The 20,783-nt window shown below is 40.1% G+C and overlaps 1 protein-coding gene across 7 annotated transcripts in view, besides 2 other annotated features; it reads right to left on the minus strand.

Moving 5' to 3' along the window:
* Window positions 1-20,783, minus strand: part of ADAMTS12 (ADAM metallopeptidase with thrombospondin type 1 motif 12) — a 368,456-nt gene that overhangs the window by 63,564 nt on the left and 284,109 nt on the right. For all 7 annotated transcript variants that reach the window (NM_001324512.2, NM_030955.4, XM_017009905.2 and 4 more), the window contains 2 exons: window positions 8,836-8,962; window positions 1,501-1,711 (listed from right to left, as the gene is read on the minus strand). In NM_001324512.2, the coding sequence (NP_001311441.1) occupies window positions 1,501-1,711; window positions 8,836-8,962 (338 nt within the window). The remainder of the gene's footprint in view (window positions 1-1,500; window positions 1,712-8,835; window positions 8,963-20,783) is intronic.
* Window positions 1,758-1,807: a silencer, noted in NCBI's record as "silent region_15963". NCBI's record gives its function as "represses an Ori minimal core promoter by ATAC-STARR-seq in GM12878 lymphoblastoid cells {active_cell/tissue: GM12878}" and the evidence as "EXISTENCE:reporter gene assay evidence [ECO:0000049][PMID:35858748]".
* Window positions 16,810-18,009: an enhancer, noted in NCBI's record as "MED14-independent group 3 enhancer chr5:33604013-33605212 (GRCh37/hg19 assembly coordinates)". NCBI's record gives its function as "activates an origin of replication core promoter dependent on BRD2, BRD4, P300/CBP and CDK7 cofactors, and independent of MED14, by STARR-seq in HCT116 cells {active_cell/tissue: HCT116}" and the evidence as "EXISTENCE:reporter gene assay evidence [ECO:0000049][PMID:35650434]".

Genomic DNA, 20,783 nt, shown 5'->3' on the forward strand with positions numbered 1-20,783 from the left:
AAGGTAAATAAACCTAAACTGTGACATAAGCTAATAAAAGGGAGTCTTGGAAATAAGGTTTCATCAAAGCTGCTGTATTTAAATGAGTGTTTTGCTTTCAAATAGGTATCTTCAGAGATGGTATCTTTGCTTACACAAATTTTAGAATTTTTCTTTCAGAGCAGGTGAAAAGCAATCTGTCACATATTTATCATCAAATATTTTTTAAACACAAAGATTTTGATCACATTATTCATTTATCCATCAGGCCCCATTCTAATTGACTTTCTGTGGCATTCTCCTGAATCAGATATTCTCCATTTTCTCCTGAGTCCTCACAGGAGTTCCTAAAATATCCTGAGCAATGGTGGCATTATTGTTATTATTATTATTTTGAGACAGGGTCTCACTTTCTCACCTAGGCTGGAGTACAGTGGCATGATATCAGCTCACTACAGCCTCGATCTCCCAGTCTCAAGCGATCCTCCTGCCTCAGCCACCCAAGTAGCTGGGACTACAGGCATGTGCCACCATGACTGGCTAATTGTATTTTTCATAGAGATGGTGTTTCATCATGTTGCTTGGGCTGGTCTCAAACTCCTAAGCTCAAGTGATCCTCCTTCCTCGGCCTCCTAAAGTGCTGGGATTACAGGTGCCTGTCCAGTGGTAGCATTATCATGGAAGCATACGGCTTCTCAAGGAAGCTCGTAAGATAAAGTCAGCATCCATCTCTAAACTCTGGCCTGTTAATTTTTAAAAAACATGTATTTTCTAGTTATTCTTAGGTTGTTCACTGAACTGCACATAGAGAAGCAGAGCTGAGGCCCTTGGAGACTTTGGGGCCTTCCACTAATAACTGGGAACATGACAATGCCTGATGAAACCAGATTCCAAAGTGACCCAAAGAAAATTAAAGCCTGAGAGAGCTTTTCATAACCTTCCAGCTTACTGATTTCCAATTATAGTCAGATAATTAGATCAAATTAATTTTGGGAAAATGCAACATTTATCTGAACTTGTGTGTCTGATAATAGATGTTAGAAACCTTGGTCTGGTTTGGACTTGACACATGGTGAATAGATGGATAATTTGAGGGGATTTTTCTCAGTGTCAAGCGACACTCTTTTGGTTTGGGTTAACTACAGTGATGTGCAGTCAATGTTTTATAAACCACTTTTGGGGTGTGTGGGAGGTCCCTTATCTGCTACCAGTGGTTTAACAATGGGCCTGGCCAAGCTTCTGATGATTTATTAACTAGTCTTTGTGATCCTGTACTGGGAGTGGGGGGTCTACCTCACCCCTGTCAGATAGTAAGCTGACCATTGAGCAAGTGGGAGCAAGATCCCCTATGAATGGAAAATAAGTAGTGGACACAGGAAAGGCAGGAGACAGGCCAGGGGTGATGAACACTGGCTATTTTGCAATTTTACCTAGGGTCACTTTGGATTGGATAATGAGAAGGAAGGCAGGGGCTGATGAAGCTTGAATAATGCCAGTTTCCCCGCCGAGCCCTGAGCTCACCTCACTCCAGTTGCCCACTGTCCAGTCCGAGGGGCACAGGATGTCTCTGTTGCAGGAAAGGAGGGTCTTGGGCTTCAGCAGGTGCTGGCAGTCTGTGGGCGGGAGAGCCTGCTCGTCAGAGACCATGGTCTGGATGCACAGCACGGTTCGCTTCTTCTCCCCGTGGGGCCCGCATGTCGCCGAGCATGCTTCCCACTCCCCTGCCCACCACCTGCAGGCAAACATGGATATGTGAGAGAAGATCGCCAACTTACGCATATGTTCCATTCAACCACTGAGAAAGCAGGGGCAGAAATGCAGATCACAGGGCTGGAAGGGCCATGGAGACACTCCAACCCACTAGGGGGCGTGCTGCAGACAGGGCCACCGTGTCTTCAATCATAGCTCCGTAGCTCTGCAGGGCGCCTGGCATGAGCTGTTGCTAAATACGCATGTTTTTGAATGAGAAAAAAATATATATGCATGCCCTCTCTTTTCAGGAAGAAAACTGAGGTCCAGGGTTCTGCTGTGCAACTTTAAGCAAGTTTAAGCCTCGCTTTCTCATTATTCAATGGGTGTGAAAATATATTTTCTTTATATGAGTGTTGTGTTGTACATGAAATGAAAGACCAATTCATGTAATGTGCATAGTACAGAGCCTGACATATAACAAGAACTCAAGCATTTGTTATGATTTATTGTTATTTTGACCATGCTATTGAATAAAAGAGTCCAATTAGACTCTAGGTCTCCTGGCTCTTAATTGAATGTAAAGTAGCTACTTAAACATAAATTTTTAAATTATTTAGGAGGCGATCAATCAGGGATATTGCCTTTATTTTTTTCCCTATCTCCTGCAGTCTACTTGTTAATATTCTCACTGGTCCCTTTGATAAGAAATGAGTAGAAAAAGAATAAACATAAATAAAATCGTTTTTTACTCAATAATCTAGGATGTGGGCCCACTGGTTACATAAAAGTAGCTTTTGAAAATGGCAGGGAGCCATCTCTTGTCCATCTTCTCCATTATTGTGCAAATCTTCCCCAACACCGAAGACAGATTGAGTGTCTTCACCCAGTGTGGTTTGTGTCCATTATTTTTCCTGTGTACAGCCCGCTTGTCCATCCCTTCATATAGTAACAAGTGGGGCACTTCTATTTTTCATGGGAAAATAGTACACTGGGGGAAGTCCTTCATTCCTGACTTCAGGAAAGCCTCCTGACTTGAGACAGCATTGAATTTTGGTAATTTTGAAGATAAAACTTTTTACTTTTATTTTTATTTACTAAATATTAGATTTATTTATGTAGAATTTCTTTTGATTGTGACACTTTTAATCTCAAGTTAAAAATATCAGAAGAAAGCAATTCCTCAATTCAATCATATTCTTCATTTAATAAGTAATTGAGATTACTTATTTATTCTTTGGTGTTTAACATCAGTGGATAAAGAGCTAATAATATTGGAACAGTATGATGTGAAACCAAATAAGTGCCCCACTGTATTAATCTAATTACTTTGTCCTGCCTCTGACTTTTCTAAAGGAGGGCAGGCCAAGGGAATATATAAAATGCCATTCTGAAAAGGTCTTAATCTGAGTTGGTTGAAAGCCTAATTTATCTAAGTACTTGCTACAGGGCTTTCAGCTGTATTACTGCAAAGTGATAATAGACGTTCTTGTTTTCTCTTCTTGGAGTTTTCTCTACAGTCCCTTAGGGGACATATTGCCTGTGATTTTGCTATAGTCTGAATGTGTTCCCCAAAACATATGTGTTAGAAACTTAATCCTCAATATAACAGTGTTGGGAGGTGGGATCTGATGGGAGGTGTTTAGATCGTGAGGGCTTTACCATCATGAATGGATTAAGGCCACTTGGAAAAGGATTTGGGAGTGGTTTACTCCCTCTCACTCTTCTGTATGAGGACATGAACGTTTGTCCTCTGTTGCCCTTCCTCCTTCAGCCTTATGAGGATGCAGCAAGAAGACCCCCGCCAGATCAAATGAACCTCCAATCTTGGCCATCCAATCTCCAGAACTGTGAGAAATGTTTATTTTTAAAAGAAATTTATTTTTTATTTTTATAGAGAAAGGGTCTTGCTTTGTCACCCAGGCTAGTCTCGAACTCCTGCGCTCAAGTAATCCTGCCGCGGCCTCGCAAAGTGCTGGGATTACAGAGTGAGCCACCATACCTGGCCACGAAATAAATTTGTTCTTTATAAATTACCCAGTCTGTGGTATTCTGGTACAGCCACACAAAATGGACTAAAACAGCTTAGTCTTAGTCTCACAAGATTAAAGTGAAAACCATCTTCTTCTTCCTTTTTTTTTTTTTTTTTTCCTGTAAAGGTCTTCCAGGTCCAGGGCTCAGGAGCCATGGTCCAGTTGTTCTCTGCTGCCCATCTCATTCTTTTGGGTGTTTGCCATAATCCCACCTCTTGTTGGAGATTTCTAAAATACTGTTTTTATATTTATGGAGATTTTATGTTTTATCTAAATGTCTAAGTGTGTGTGTGTGTGTGTGTGTGTATGTGTGTGCCTATGTTTGAGATCTTTGAAGAGCCTGTAGTTGTTCCAGAATTCTGTAAAAGTTTACTGTAGTTTGGATATGAGTCCTCTCTGAGATCAAGTAGAAGGGATGGGTTAGAGACCCTTTGAACCTCTCTTTTATTTTTAAAAGAACCCTTCTTTTATCAGTAGCTTCTACTGATTCCCCTATCAGTATATGTTCCAACAGCGCTGATCGCCAACAAACCAGGACACGTCACTCTTTCTAACCTTCATTACTCAGATAAATGAAAGTCCAAAACTGAATTTGTTAAACCCTTGCTGAGAATAGTAATTTCCTTTAAGAAATCAAATTTTATAATTATCATCTTTCTTTGTACTAATATTTTTCCTAATAGAATTTACATTCCAAAATCCGATTCAACTAAACATTTCAAATTCTGACAAAACCATGACTACAGTATAAGCACTCTTACCTCCTGGCTCTGTGTACCCATTGTCTCCATATTCTCATTATATCCCATTCCTCCAGCCTCATTTTCCCTAGCTTTCTTGTCCCCTACACACACCATGCTCAGTCCTTTTCCCTCTTTCATGGGCTTTTCCCAGTCTCAACGATCTTATTCCTTTCATTTCGATCAGAAGGTCTCAATCAGCAGAGATTTCTGCAGCTTCCCTCCCCAGGGGACATTTGGGAATGTCTGAAGACATTTTTCGTCGTCACAAATCAGTGGTGACAGGGAAAGGGGGGTGGGTTTCTATTGGCATCTAGTGGATAGAGTCCAGGGATACAGCTAAACCTCCTACATTGGCACTAGACAGCTTCCCACAACAAAAAACTATCCAGCCCAGTAAGCCAGGCGCGGTAGCTCACGCCTGTAATCCCAGCACTTTGGGAGGCTGAGGTGGGCGGATCACCTGAGGTCGGGAGTTCGAGACCAGCCTGACCAAAATGGAGAAACCCCGTCTCTACTAAAAAAAAAAGAATACAAAAATTAGCTGGGCGTGGTGGCACATGTTTGTAATCCCAGCTACTTGGGAGGCTGAGGTAGGAGGATCGCTTGAACCTGGGAGGCGGAGGTTGCGGTGAGCCGAGATTGCGCCATTGCACTCCAGCCCGGGCAACAAGAGCGAAACTCCGTCTCAAAACAAACAAACAAAAAAAACAAAAAACAAAAAAACAAAAAACAAAACAAAACAAAAAAAACTATCCAGCCCAAAGCAGCAATAGCGTTGAGGTTGAGAAACCTTGATTTAAGTCATATGTCATTATTTTGTGGACTGAAACCTACATGTAGCTGCCAGAGTTTAAAAAAATCACTGTCAGAGGTTTATTGAGTACTTTGGATATGCTAGGCACTATCACAGCTGTGGCCTAGCAGAGCTTTGCTTTGCTGAAAACCAAAATTCAGAGAGAAGTCAGTAGGGAGAAGGGACTCAAATAACCTCTTTCTGGAGTCAGATATATTAAATTTTCAAAGAATTTCTTTCTTGACAGCCTACCCTCTCCTGGAACATGCTCTACAAGGCTTTCATCCTGAAAGCCATTGGCAATGTAATATATATTTTTTTATGTTTAGATAATCAAAAGTTTTTATTAAATCTTAAAAAAATCTCTCTCAAATACTCCTTTGGGGAAGAACACAGAATGTTGAAATTGGTTGTAAAAACAAGATATTACTGAAGAAAAATGATCCATAAATAAATAAGATTAAACCTTGCACAGGAAATTTTTTGGGAAAGGAAATGACAGCTCCCAGTGATGGGTATGAACTTTTTAGAGATCATGGAAATTCGGTGACAGAAGAAGATATTGCAGCTTGAAATTCATATACAAGGAAACTAGTGAACTAATCTTGCAAAAACAAATAATATTAGTTTATTATTTATTTATTTTTAAAAAAGCAAATCGCCAGGCACATGGGCTCATGCCTGTAATCCCAGCACTTGGGGAGGCTAAGGCGGGTGGATCACTTGAGGTCAGGAGTTTGAGACCAGCCTGGCCAACATGGTGAAACCTAATCTCTAGTAAAAATACAAAAATTAGCCAGATGTGGTGGTGTGCGCCTGTAATCCCAGCTACCCACGAGGCTGGGGCAGGAGAATTGCTTGGACCTGGAGGCATGACTTAGTTTTGGAGTCAAGCATTCATAACATTTTTATTGTGTTTTAATGTGAGAGAAAAAGTTTAAATGTAGGGGATTCTGGTTCTAGTACTGAAACCTGCTTATCCTGAGATCCTAGGCAGCAGCATGGTGTAGCAGCACATACAGAGGCAGCACAGCAAACAGATCTGGGTTCAAATCCCGACTCTACAATTTGTAGCTAAGTGACCTAGGAAAATTTTGGTGAAAGCTTTAGAGTCTTCATTTGTATAATGAGCATAAATGTATCTACAAATTAGGGTTGCTTACAGGCTTAAATGATATGGTTATGTGGAAACAGCTTGGAAAATAGTGCATTCTTAAAAAGTGCTAGTTTTTAACACAGGAACAGAAAACCAAATACCATGTCATGTTCTGACTCATAAGTGGGAGTTGAACAATGAGAACACATGGACACAGGGAGGGGAACATCACACACTGGGGCCTGTAGGGAGTTGGGGGGCTAGGGGTGGGAGAGCATTAGGACAAATACCTAATGCAAGCGGGGCTTAAAACCTAGATGATGGGTTGATAGGTGCAGCAAACCACCATGGCACATGTATATCTATGGAACATCCTGCACATTCTGCACATGTATCCCAGAACTTAAAGTAAAATTTAAAAAAAGAAGTGCTAGTTTTCTCTGCAGCCATTTCCCCTAGGGTATGGCATCAAATTTCTCTGAACCTTTATCTCCTCATATACCACCTCAGAGTAATACCCATACCCTGTCTTATGACTATTTCATAAATATTTGTAGAAGCTAAAATGCAATCATAAATAAAAAGCACTTTTGTAAATTGGCCATTGATATGGCTTGGCTGTGTCCCCACTCAAATCTCAGCTTGAATTGTAGCTCCCATAATTCCCACGTGTTGTGGGAGGGACCTGGTGGGAGATAATTGAATCACGGGGGCGGATTGCCCCATACTGTTCTCATGCTAGTGAATAAGTCTCATGAGATTTGATGGCTTTATTAGGGCAAAACCCTTTCACTTGGCTCTCATTCTCTCTTGTCTGTAGCCACATAAGACATGCCTTTCCCCTTCTGCCACGATTGTGAGGCCTCCCTAACCACATGTAACTGTGAGTCCATTAAACCTCTTTTTCTTTGTAAGTTATCCAGTCTTCATTATATCTGAATGTTTCATGCAGTTCTACTTAGCTTATTATATCCTACTTGAGAGTGCATTTTCAGAAATTATACCTGTATGTATTATATTGTGCCTAATTAACATTCTCAGCAGTCAAAAATCTCACAGTTCATGAACTCTGTGGAGTAGTAGGCAATGGACTAGCTCTAAGAAGGGCTGTCTTCCCTGCCTCATTCTTCCCTGAGAAAGTAACATAACTGCAATTTCAGGTAAAACCTAGTGCTAGCCTTATCTTCCCTTGTCATTTCTAGTTCTTCCTGGCAAAAGAACCACAGGAAGGAGCTACAGCACGGAGAGGCAATGACACATTTCTGTCCTGCTTCAATAGTGGTGGGGTCCAGCTCCTACCTAGAAAAAGCCACAGAACAGAAGAGAAAATAAACCTCTCTCTCTGAGCTGAGAATACCCTGGCCTCTGGGTCCTGCCTGTTTGGACTGCTAAGAGACTGACATCATTTTTTTCAACTGTCTTGTCCTGACTCTTCTTTCTAACCTAGTTCTTGGATATTTATCACATTCTAGCTCTTCTTTAGAATCCACCCTGTCACCTGTTTGAGTCTCCCCCTTGTTTAAATGCCTCATAGTGTGTCTGCTTAGAACTGGGATGAATGCTTGATGGACTCTGCAACATAAATACATCCCTGTTTAAGGTTGCCAGAGAATGAAGACTCTTTCTGGAAATCAACCAATATTCCTTCCTTTCTTCCTCTTTCCTCTCCCTTTTTCCCTCCCTCTTTTCTTCTTCTCCTTCTTCCTCCTTTATCTTTTTCCTTTCTTTTTTTTCTCTCTCTTTTTTTTAAACATAAGCCTGGCATAATAACATCCCAACTACCTTCTAGGATCCCAATCTCTTGAACCAATGTGATTAGCAACACCCTGAATATTGCTGAATATCTCTATAACAGTGGCTGTCAACTGAGGATGATTTTACCCCGTAGTGGAAATCTGTCAATGTCTGCAGACATTTTTAGTTGTCATAGCCTGGACTGGGAGGGAGGGAGTTCTACTAGCATCTAAGTAAACACAGGCCAGCAATGCTGCTAAGCCTCCTGCAATTCACGGACAGCCCCCCACAACAAAGAGTCAGCCAGCCCCACGTGCCAGTAATGTCAAGATTGGGAAAACCTGCTCTCTGAGCCCCCTCTTCTGGACAGCCTGAAGTACAAGTGGGCACTGTGATCGGAAGGTGCCAACCTTTTGTCTGAAGGCTGGTGTTGCACTGGTAAAGCCCTTGGAAAAGACAATTCTGTAGTAAAACTACTTTTGGGTGATCCACTTAGCACTCTCTTCACCAATGCTTTGGCAGTTAGTCTTGCCAAATAATTAAACACAGAACACATCACCTTGTGAAAATACTGCTCTTGGGAGAATATGTCCTCACAGCTTGCCACAGGCTCCAACAGCATAGCCACAGAAAACTCTAACCGCGTTCTTGTATTTATCCAAATAACAAAACCACACAATATTTCTTTATCAGCAAGCACTAGGTCACTCTTGAGTCAGACATCACTGTAGGCAGACACACAGAGCTCCAGCTGTTAGCGATGGTTACCTGGGTGGACAAGCCTTTTCATGGCACTTCTTCTGTCTCCCATTGGGCTGTGTTTCTGGGTCACAGAATGTAGCTTTCACCATCCCGCGGCCCTTCTTTATGCAATGGGCAGTTTGGCGGCGGATACCTGGGGGTCAGACAGAAAGATTCACACATATTGAATCCTGAGCCCACATGCTCATGGTCAGGTGAGGTACCTGACCACGTCAACGATCATGCTGACGGCTGATGGGAAAGTTGTTCAAAAGTTACTTGGTTTTAAAGGAGGGATGAAGAATAGGGACCTCTTACAATTCACCCTGATGCTGCAGCTGGCAAGAGGAGGAGGAGAGCTTGCCTAGGAAAAACTGTAGATCATAGAGGTAGGAGGTAAAGTCTGTTCCATAGATTACAGTCCAGCCATGGAGACGAGACTAACACACACATGCCAGGTGGAAAACCAAATGAGATTTAAATAATGAAAGTAGGTTGGGCGCAGTGGCTCACACCTGTAATCCCAGCACTTTGGGAGGCAGAGGCAGGTGGATCACTTGAGGTCAGAAGTTCGAGATCAGCCTGGCCAAAATGGTGAAACCCCATCTCTACTAAAAATACAAAAATTAGCTGGGTGTGTTGGTGGGCTCCTGTCATCTCAGCTACTTGGGAGGCTGAGGCAGGAGAATCCCTTGAACCCAGGAGGCGAAGGTTGCCGTGAGCTGAGATCGTGCCACTGCACTCCAGCCTGGGCAACAGAGCGAGACTCTGTCTCCAAAATACTACTGCTACTACTAATGAAAGTAGATATCATCACCAGGTGTTATGAGGCAATTGCTACATTATTAGCGTAATTAAAGGATAGAGGAGACAGATATCTTTATATTAGTTGATGTCAGTAAATTCTGAAAGACTGAAATACAATTTAAAATAATGTTGTGAAGTTTGAGATGTTATGTTTTTTAAAATACAGGGATTTGATAGCAAGGATTGATAATCCTGCTGCCTTCAGAGACCAGGTAGTTAATGTAAGTAAGGGACTCACACAGGGTCTATAGGCAAATGAAGCCTTGTCCCAGGCACTGTTCTAAACTATGTGTATTTATATCAATAATGTATTACCTGTTATCTATTATGATGTATAATAACCCAAACCTCTCAACAACCCAATGAAATCAGCACCGTCATTATCATTATCTGACAGGCGAAGAAACTGAGGCACAGTGAAGTCACAAAGGTTGAGAAAGGGAAAGGACCACTGACTTTGATAACTAGGACATCATTAGCAAGGGAATGTAGAGGAGTGGCCAGACTGTCATGGACTGAAGTGAAGGGGCAGTGAAGAAGCAACTCAGCATCTCCCTTGAAAGGGCTAGTGCTCACATGTGACACGTGAAACACTGGGTAAGAATACTAAAGACTAAGAACCCTGAAAGGCAGAACAGTCTGTACAAAGGCTGGCACCCTGAGCTCTCAGGATGTCTAGACCTTGTGTGGGCTCACTGGTGTACAGAACTCCAGAATTGGAAAGGCCCGGAGCAATCCAACGAGCTGGTCACCTCCTCCCTTTACAGCCAAGGACACTGAGGGGCTTTCCCTCAGTCACACAGCTCGCAGGACTGACCTGGAACCTGCTGTCCTACCACCCACCACCTCGCACTGCCTCAGCATGGACTCGCTTCAGCCAAATCCCCCTGATGCCAGATGGCATCTTGTCACTTAAAAAAGTGTCAGAGGGAGTTGCAAAACAGTAAGTAAATCCTTTAAAAAAGAACAATTTTTTTTTTTTGAGAAAATTCTGTTTTCAAGAGACAAGTAAACCTTCAACCTCTCAGGCTTTCCCAACTAACAGATGTCGGTGGAATAGAGACTCGGATCATTGACATCAGAGAAGCTGACATGCATCTGCCATTGGAGAGTGGGGGAAAAAAGTTTAGCTGCTTAGAAGTTTCATTAAAGCTTGGGTGGTTTGGCAAATTCTTGATGTCAAAACATGAAAAGGACCGTCAGATGACTGTAACAGGTTGGAAACATTCCGAAAAGGCTTGTATCTGTGCACGAATAGCAAAGGTAAGTGTGCTTAGTGTCCCTGTCTCCAGAAGGGCACAAAACCTTACATAAAATCCCCTTCGGAAAGTTAATAACATGGCATGGGTCAATCCACTGCACCAGCTGGGAGATGAATGGATAGGCCAGGCAGATGTCATCAAGGGCAAAAGGAAAAGGGATAACTATGTGTCAGAGTTTCTCCACTGACATTAATGGTCCTGGTGACCATTACTCTTCTCTCAGCAACTGCATTCTTATATGCTACAGCCCTTGTATGTGCCAGATACCAAGCTAAGCCCAATCTTCCAATGAGGGCCCCAACCCAGTAGGTCGACCCCCTGACATTATAGGATAGCCAAGGGCTTCTTTCTCAAGTCTGATGCTTGTGTGTTCATTTGGTAAAATTTAATTTATCAATTCATTTCTTATCTATTCCTGCTTAAATAAAAAAAAGAAAAGAAAACAAATAGAATCCAAGCGTCCTGAGTTCTAGTCCCTACTTTTCCTTCTACACATCACTGGGTTTAGTCTGTAGGAAAATGAGAACAGTGATATTCATGCTGTTGGAGGGCAGGAAGCTCAGCTAGTTTATCCTGGAAGCATCTCTTACATTTTAAAAGTGATGCTCCATAAAAGGAAGACAAAGTTTAATCATTGGAAACCTTGGATAATGAAAGGATCTGGTTAATATAATTTTATGGTTAACCTAGAAAATGGTTTGTTGAAACGATTGTCAGGATGTTTCAAAATGATATTAGTTCATATTGCCTTCGTGAGTGTGCATATGGCAGCTCATATTTTCCAAAGGTGGCTGCAACAATATTCTCCCATTCAGCGTGCTCTTCTACAACATGACCTTGTCATCCCTCACTGAGACACAGAGTCTAATTCTCCTGGCCTTGAACTAAATGCAGAAGTGATGCTGTGTGACTTCAGAGGCCAGATTAGAAAAGGCCAAGCAACTTCATCTGCTGCATCTGTGTCTCAATCTCGGGACACTCCAGCTACCACAGTGGGGAAACTCAGCGCCCTTGGAAAGGCCACATGTAGGTCAACAGTCAGCCCCAGATGAACCTAGCCCTTGGATCAACCGGCTTAGGTGCCACTCACATGAATAAAACAGCATTCAGATGGTTCTAGCCCCCAGGCATTTGAGTCTTCCTAGCCAAAGTGCCAAACACAGTGGAACAGAGGCACAGCATACCCAATGTGTCCTGTCTCAATTTCTGACCCACAGGATCTGTGGCATAATAAAGGGGTGGATGTTTTACTACACTAATTTAAGGGTGCTTTGTTATATACCAGGAGTAATGGAAAGAACACTCAATAAATGTGAGCTTTCTTCTTTCCTCCAGTCAAGACCCAGAGCTGCAGTTGAGCTTGGCTTGCTATAGTCCAACCATGATTGATTTTATTGATTTTTCATGTTCTTTTCTCTTGTGCTACAGTTCTTCTGTTTTCCCTCCAGATCCACTGTGCCCCCTTCTCTTCCCTGCCCTAAACCTCAAGAAGGTCATCCTGTGGATTGCTGTGGCTTCCCATGAGATTTGGGAAATGGAGGCACTATCTCTTTAACTGCTCCTCCCCCTTAATTCTTTAGGCCTAGGGATGGTAGCCTTATTCCCCTGACCCTTCACTGTTAATGGGCAGGGGCAGTAAATTACCTTTCTTAATTTCCCTAAACCCTACCCATACCTTTGAAAGTAGGCAAGGTCGTCAGCTTGACTGTTCCAGCTGTTCCCTGCTGGGTCCCTAACTGGTAATTTCTCCTTTGCAGTAAAAATCCTAAACTATTCATCTTCAGTGATACACTCATTAACTCTGAAAATCGATTGCTGAAATAAAATCTTTCTTTGACATAGGATATTGTAATATCTCTTGTGGAGGGGGTTCAAATCAGTCACCCTTTTAAGAGCAGTTATCATTATGTGACACTGCAAATGCAGGAAATACAACACATTCAGCTAAGTCTATGTGACCTTGATCTTTCCCTGGAAATTAAAGAAAGATAAATGATATTGGCTTTTTATTTGGCTTGCTATTTTTTCCCTTTCTCTTCTATACTAAATATAGTCCCAAAAGAAATTCCAGCTAATTAAGGATGCCAATCAATCAATATGTTGCCACAGCACTAAGTTAACTGTTTATCTGGAAGCACTTACTTCAAAAGACACAAAGTAGAAATCAGTTGCATTCCAAAATATATGAGAACTAAATTCAAAATGTTATTTCCAGATGATTCTGAATGCCTTTCCCCAGGTAGCAACCAGAATGTTGCCATGCAGCAGTACTTAGTAAATCTCATTGGATACTAGCAATGAAAAGTCAACTAAGTGCCTTTAAAAGAACGTCTTCCTGTACTCTAAACAGGAGTACTCATCTTGAATGAAAATTATGCCTCGATATAAGGAACAAGCAATGTTCCTTACGTCTAAAAGAAAATGACATAGCTCATCATATTCTCAATTCAATATCCAGATTGTAAAATCAAGGGAGTTTGTTATGGTTAATTAAATTTGATTCAAAAATTCAGTTTAGACAACTGAAAGACTTAGATAAAACAAGTGAAGACATAGCTTATTGTAATGACTTATGGTTAAAACTATAGTATTTCCTGTTATGTATAAACTTAAGATTAGATACTTAAGACAGTGAACATTTAATTACAGCATGTGAAAGTTTCAAGGCATTGTATACTCAATCTTTAAAATACTGTTAAGGTCTCTTTTTTAAAATAACCATTTAAGTGAGAATGATACCAGTACAAGTTAAATTGCACATTAGCACGTAAATTACAATCCTCCCCAAATTAGACATAACATTGATTTTAATAATAGAAAATGATAACAATTCTGTGACTCAATAAAGAGCTTGTCACTTACAATTCCCCTAAATAAGTAGCAAACATTAACTTCACAAGAAGAAGAGAAGTGTAGGAATTGTTTATCCGTCCGTCTCTCTTGTCAATGAGTCCATTCTTAGCCAACTTTCACTTTAGGTTCCCACTAAATATTTACCTTTTTTCTTTCTGGCTCTCTAGGTTTCTTCACCTGTTTTCATGCTCTATGAGTTCAGATCTACCCTTCATAATGAAGGCTCTGTCAAGGACAGCTTGGGTCTCATGACTATAGAAGCTCAAACACATTTAAGAGTGTGTGTGTGTGTGTGTGTGTGTGTGTGTGTGTGATCAACAATCACAACATCGACAGCACCATCAAAACTGGAACTGGTTTTGAATCCTGCTTTTAACATTTACTTACTGAGTAATCTTGGACAATCCTGCTAACCTTCTCAAGCCTCAATTTCCTTGTCCTCATCTTCAGGATGGCAAAAGATTATAGTATAGGGTTGTTGTGAGGACAAAATGATGTATGCATCCTCATATGCCCACGATGTACCCTAAGTCCTGGTACTATGCTGAATGCACATAGTAGGACCTTGAGAAAAGTTTTGTAACCTGAATCCAAAGCCTCTTTGTAACCCACTCATCCAATAGTGAATATTAACTCCCTCTAAAATTCTGCTTCCTGCACCTCATAAGATCAGGGTTGGCTTCACACTCTGAGGCTAGGGAATAAAGCGAACTCAACTCATCCAATTCAATGAAGCCGTAGTTTTCATACTTCTGTGATGTAAACTCCTTCCTACAAACAACTAGACCCTTGTTACACAATTCATTTTTATTTCCTAGCTCAAAAGAACATTGACATTGACTTCAATAACCACAAATATTGAATGTATATTAGATAATAAGATATTATTTTACTATCATCATTTGTTGAAACCTATACCTCTCACATCAGTAAAACTCCAAGCCACTACTTTTTCTCTCCCTGAAATGCCAATGAACTGTTACATAAGTTCATAAGTTGACTGTCATGATTACGGGTAACATAAGAATTTATATAAGAAATGCTTAAATAAGGTGCTTAAAGAATGTTTAATAGTCTTAGGTAGAAAAAGATTCTGCCCTATGAAGGAGATATTTTCAAAATTCACCACAATCAAGAGTATTCCTGCCTGATTATGACTCCCTTTCTGTGTCCAAGTCAGGGACCTCATTCACTTAAAGAAAATCAGAGGCCTACAATGCCTCACAGCTCTCATGGGTTAACAAGAAAAGCAGCCAGTCAGCATTCCACAGAGCACACCGAGCAAGGCAAAGCTCCACAGAAACCAACTGAGAAATTCCAGGCAACTGCATTATTAAAGAACAAAACTAAGGCCTTGAAATAAGGGCAGGATAAATCTCCGCTGGCCGCACAGGGTAAAAAATGGAACTAGGAAGGCTGGCTAAATAACAGACCATTAGATTAGCCACTCTGATTAAGGATTCTCATTTCTTCATTAGTGAACTACAACAGAAAGGTTATCAGACCTCCACTGTATATTACTAGTAGATTATTTTATATATTTATGCATTTAGTAAACTATATGATCCTCATTCTAGAGTATCCATCTCTCAATTCCAATAATTTAATTCCATTGAAATCATCTGAATTCGTCCTCCTATTATCTTTATGAAGTCCTACATTATGACAGATCAATATCTGAACTTGGTTGATCCTACCTGACCATTATGGTGGACAAAGTCAGATGGATTAGCACCAAGATGAGTGCACTTTGAAAATGTTAAATAAGTATCTGACTCTGAGTTTCCAAAGAAGTGTATTCTGCTTTCTAAATATCAGTATATGGTCACAAATCAGGGTTATAGCGGAATAGGTGCTTCTATTTATGAATCTCGTGCTTTACCAAGGATATGTGGACATTATCTCAAGCATGGTTACACTGAGCTTCAGTAGGAATACTATTGGATAAATCCTGTAGGAACTAGTTTCAGTAAACAGAAGTATCTGCTCCACGCTAATTTATTTCCAATGAATGTGATCTAGTTTATAATTCAGTTTAGAACAGTCAAACAATCTCCAGGAACTTTGTAGGCATGGTCTTTGCAGTTTTCAATATTTGCTTTTCCTACCAGCACATGACATTTTTTGAACAAAGGGAGAATGACTTAACTCCAGAGAGAATTTACCCAGGAGATAAAGGAAAAGGAGAAGCCCAGGGTAGGGCAGAAGTGTTCTCTCTTTTGTGTAGGCCACTGTTGTACCTACAGGCCCCAAAACGCAGAATCAAGATCACTGAGCACAAAAATGGCAAAGGTCACGTTCAGAAGTGAGGAGCTATTTTCCAGCAGTAGGGCCATTCCAGGACACAGGAAATTTTGGTTAGACGCTATTATGACTGACAGAACTCTGCAGTACTAAGGCTGCAATGAGGCAAAAAGGTGGCTTTTGCATCTCTCTAAAAGTGATCCTGAGCTTTTGCCCAAATATTTTCTTATAAGGAGTCCTGAAGCTTCCTGTGGAGATGAATATCTGTGTCAAGCCATTTCTGCAGATGTTTCTTCACAGATAATCTATTGGCTGAACTTTCATTGGTGATCTTTTGATGGGTGACTCAGATAAATTACTTTCATTAAGCCTTCCGTAATGCATGGTAATTCTTTTCCAAGTTTCCTGAGGAGTAGTCAGTCCTAAATTCCCCTAAAGTCAGAGCGTCACTCTCCATGGTAAGGCAGAAGTAAAAGCAAATGCCGCTGAGGGGAGAGAAGAACAGACACTGGCTTGGAGACAAAGCTGTCACTGGTGTTCTCTGAGAGTGCCCTTTACCTCTGAGCACTAAACTGTGGAAAGTCGGCTGGCTCTCATACCAGTGAGCTCAGTTTAGACTATTGTCTTGCCAGTTTTTCACATGGATCTCTGATCTAGAACAAAGGTAATATTTTAAAAATTCAAAATAAGAAAACAACATCTTAGTGAATTTATGCTTACTTTGTTCCAAATGTGTAACAGTAATATATCACATATAAACACGTAAACAAAATTAGATTATAAAATACAAAAAATAAGGCACCACACTCAAATGTAGTCAAACAGCCCTGCAAAATACTGAGCAGAACTTAAGTGAAGTGCTTAACTTAAGCAGAGCTCTGTCAGGCTCCTGGCCTTGTTAGTGTCTTACTACCTTCTTAGGCCTAGAACTCATCAAGAGTGAATGCAGTTAATATAAGTATAAATTTATATCATATTAAGTAAACTGTAACCAAGGAACGCCAGTACAGCTCAGTAACAGAAAATCTATTCATGGAGTAACCAAATTAGCATATTAATAGATATAAAACAAGATCATCTCAGAAGATACAGAAAAATATCAGATTCAACACTCGTTTATAATGAAAGATGTCATAAACTAGGAATAGAAGAAAATTTATTTTCCCTGATAAAAATCATCTGAAGGAGCAGGAATGAAGTGGGCAGATCACCTGAGGTCAGGAGTTCGAGACCAGCCTGGCCAACATGGCGAAACCCCGTATCTACTAAAATTACAAAATTAGCTGGGTGTGGTGGCGCATGCCTGTAATCCCAGCTACTGGGCAGGCTGAGGCAGGAGAATCACTTGAACCTGGGAGGTGGAGGTTGCAGTGAGCGGAAATTACGCCACTGCACTCTAGCTTGGGCAAAAAGACCAAAACTCCATCTCAAAATTAAAAAAAAAGAAAAGAAAAGAAAAGAAAGAACAACCCCCCACCACCCCCCTACTTAGCACAATCACTCTTGAAGAGTTTTAGGCCTGGGAAGTTAGCAAGACAAGAATTCAATTTCTAATCAAGAGCTCAGCCGACCTACCTGCTGGCTCCATCACTTTATCCGGTATATTGTCAATGTCACCATGAGACAACAGTTCTAAACAATCATGACAAATCCTGGTCCTGAAATGAGGCTCTGCAGTGTGGTCAAGTAAAACTGCAAAAGTATTAGAAAGGGTGGGGTGCATACAGACAGAAGATGGGAGAAAAGAGGCAGGAGAGAGAAAAAAGAAAAAGCCACTAAAAGGAAATTACACTCTAATCAAACCTGTAAATTATAATTCCAAAATACATTTAGAGAAATCTAATGCTAAGACAAGCTACAAAGTAATTAGAATAGGAATCCACTCTGGGTGAAATAAATTTGATAGGGCACTCTGATAAGCTTTAAAATAAGCATGTTACTGCCTTTGGGCATTTTAATTAGACATATATAAAAATAAACTCTTCTTCAGACCTGTTTCTTGTTATATGTTCTTTGTCGCAGTGAATGATACCACCATTTGGCTACTTACCCAACGGAGCACAGAGAGTGTTACCTTTCAGTCTTCCCTATGCTCAAATCACTGTCCACTAATAGATAAATGGAATCAACCACTGAGCCGAGTCTAGCCTATTTCCTAAAGAGCTCCACATTTGTACAATTTTTCCATCTATGTCACTTTAATTTCAGTTCTAGCCACTGTATTATTTCCCTTGACTGCTGCAAAAACTTTGGATATCTTCTCCTTACCTCTTGCATTTTTCTCCCACACAGAAATAAAATGTTGAGGATGTTCAAATAAATTTAAAAAAGATATAATTTCTATTAGTTGAGCATAATAAATTGTAAAAATGGAAGAAACAAGAATAGATACATATAAAAATGACAACTGGAAAACTTAGGAAAATATAGTCATTGAAATAAAAAATGCTGTGGTGAGGGTAAATTCTAGATAGGACACAGTTGAAGAGTAAGTGAGTGATGTTGAATAAAGTTCTGAGGAACTCAGAGTTCAGTTTGAAAGGAAAAAATACTTGAAACATATAAAAAGCATTTAAGATGTATACAGAGTAAATCGAGAAGTTTCAGCATTCATGTAATAGGAGTCACAGAACAGAGAATAAAGAGGATAATCAATGAGTAGTATTTAAATAGATAATTACTAATAATTTTCTGGCACTGCTTTTTAACAATTACATTTTACATATATTCATTCGTTTAATTCTCATACCAACCATACAAAATTTCTCACATTTATAGATGAAGAAATTGAAGCACAAATAAGTTATACAAAGTTATATAGTTGATAGCTGGTTAAGCTGGGATTTAAATCTGAACAGTCTGGTTCCAGAGGCCACAATCCTCTCTTTTTTTTGAGATGGAGTCTCACTCTGTTGCCCAGCCTGGAATGCAGAGGTGCAATCTCGACTCATTGCAACCTCTGCCTCCCCGGTTCAAGCAAATCTCCTCCCTCAGCCTCCCAAGTAGCTGGGACTACAGGCACACATCACCACGCCTGGCTAATTTTTGTATTTTTTGTAGAGATGAGGTTTCACCATGTTGGCCAGGCTGGTCTCAAACTCCTGACCTCAGGTGATCTGCCTGCCTCGTCCTCCCAAAGTGTTGGGATTACAGGCGTGAGCCACTGCGCCCATCCCAGAGGCTACAATCTTAATGAACTACCATGACATACTAATAGGACTATTTATTACTTAAGAATGAGAAAGAGAGCCATGGGACCAGGGAAGATTTTATACAATTGCAGGAGACACTTACTTGAATGCTTCTCTATCTTAAAGGAAAATAGTAGCCAGTCAACAGGAAGAAAGAATAATATAAATGAATGAGAAAATAAGGAGTACCTATTGACCCATATGGTCAAGAAGTGTGAAGAAACTGTAAGGATGAGTTGCCTTCATGCACAGACCACTGCGTGCCCACTCTAGCCACTTGATCTGCAGACAACTTACCTTTGAATGCATTCGTGAGTCCTATGTGAGGACAGAAGAATGAAGAAAAATCTCCCCCACCTAACCAAAGTAGGACTGACTAGAATCTGTGGAGAAATTTCTCTGGAAGCAAGAACAGCAATGGACACAAACCATTGTTATTCTTATTTTATATAAAGTTGCAGAGAAAAAAGAGGAAAAATAACCCAACTCATTTATGAGCCTTCTATAACTTTGATACCCAGCTGAACAAGGAGAGTGCTGGAAGGGAATATTAAAGATAGATCTCATTCATGAATGTAGATGCAAAAGTCCTAAGTGAAATATTAGCAAACAGAACTCAACAGTGTATATAATACATGTATGAATTTATACCACATTAAGTAAGCTTTGTCAAAGGAATGCCAGTACAGTTCAATAACAGAAAATCTATTCATGAAATAACCAACTCTTTTAGAATATTAATGGAGAAAAACTATATGATCATCTCAGTAGATGCAAAAAAAATTAAACAGATTCAACACTCATTTATAATAAGGTAATAAGCCAGGAATAGAAGAAATTTTTTTTTCACCGATAAGGATCATCTGAAGCATTCTTATCAAAGTCAGCAGAAAGGCATACATATCTCTTATTGTCTATTGGGATCTATTCCATTCAGCACTCTGTGACAGGCCCAATGCAATGCAATGCAATGCAATGCAATGACTTCAAAAAACAAAAAGTGAAACATCTGGAAAGGAGATAAAAATGTTCTCATTACTGAAACAAAAATTCAAAAAATTCTACAGACAAACAGAACTAATAATAGAGTTCAGCAAGGTTGCCGGATACAAAATTAAAACATAAAAATCAAGAGCATTCCTATGTATCTCTAAGGAGAAAATAATTCTTAAAGAATCCCGAAGACCTGAATAGAGAGATCTATTGTATTCATACCTTGGCTATTCAGGCTCTTTTTTGGTTCCATATGAATTTTACAATAGTTTTTTTCTAGTTCCGTGAAGAATCTAAATGGTAGTTTAATAGTAATAGCATTGAATCTGTAAATTGCTTTGGGCTGTATGGCCGTTTTAATGATATTGATGATTCCTTTCCATGAGCATGGAATGTTTTTCCATTTTTTGTGTGTTATCTCTGATTTCTTTGAGCAGTGTTTTGTGGTTCTCCTTGTAGAGATCTTTCACCTCCCTAGTTAGCCGTATGTATTCAGACCCAGGAAAACTCAGTTTTAAAGGTATCAATCCTCACATAAGTAACATACAAATTGATCACAATTCCAGTAAGGATTTTCTTGGAGTTTTACAAACTGATAAATAAGCAAAGGCCAGGAATAGATAAG

This window comes from Homo sapiens, chromosome 5 (genome assembly GCF_000001405.40).
Source record: "Homo sapiens chromosome 5, GRCh38.p14 Primary Assembly".
Lineage (NCBI taxonomy): Eukaryota > Metazoa > Chordata > Mammalia > Primates > Hominidae > Homo > Homo sapiens.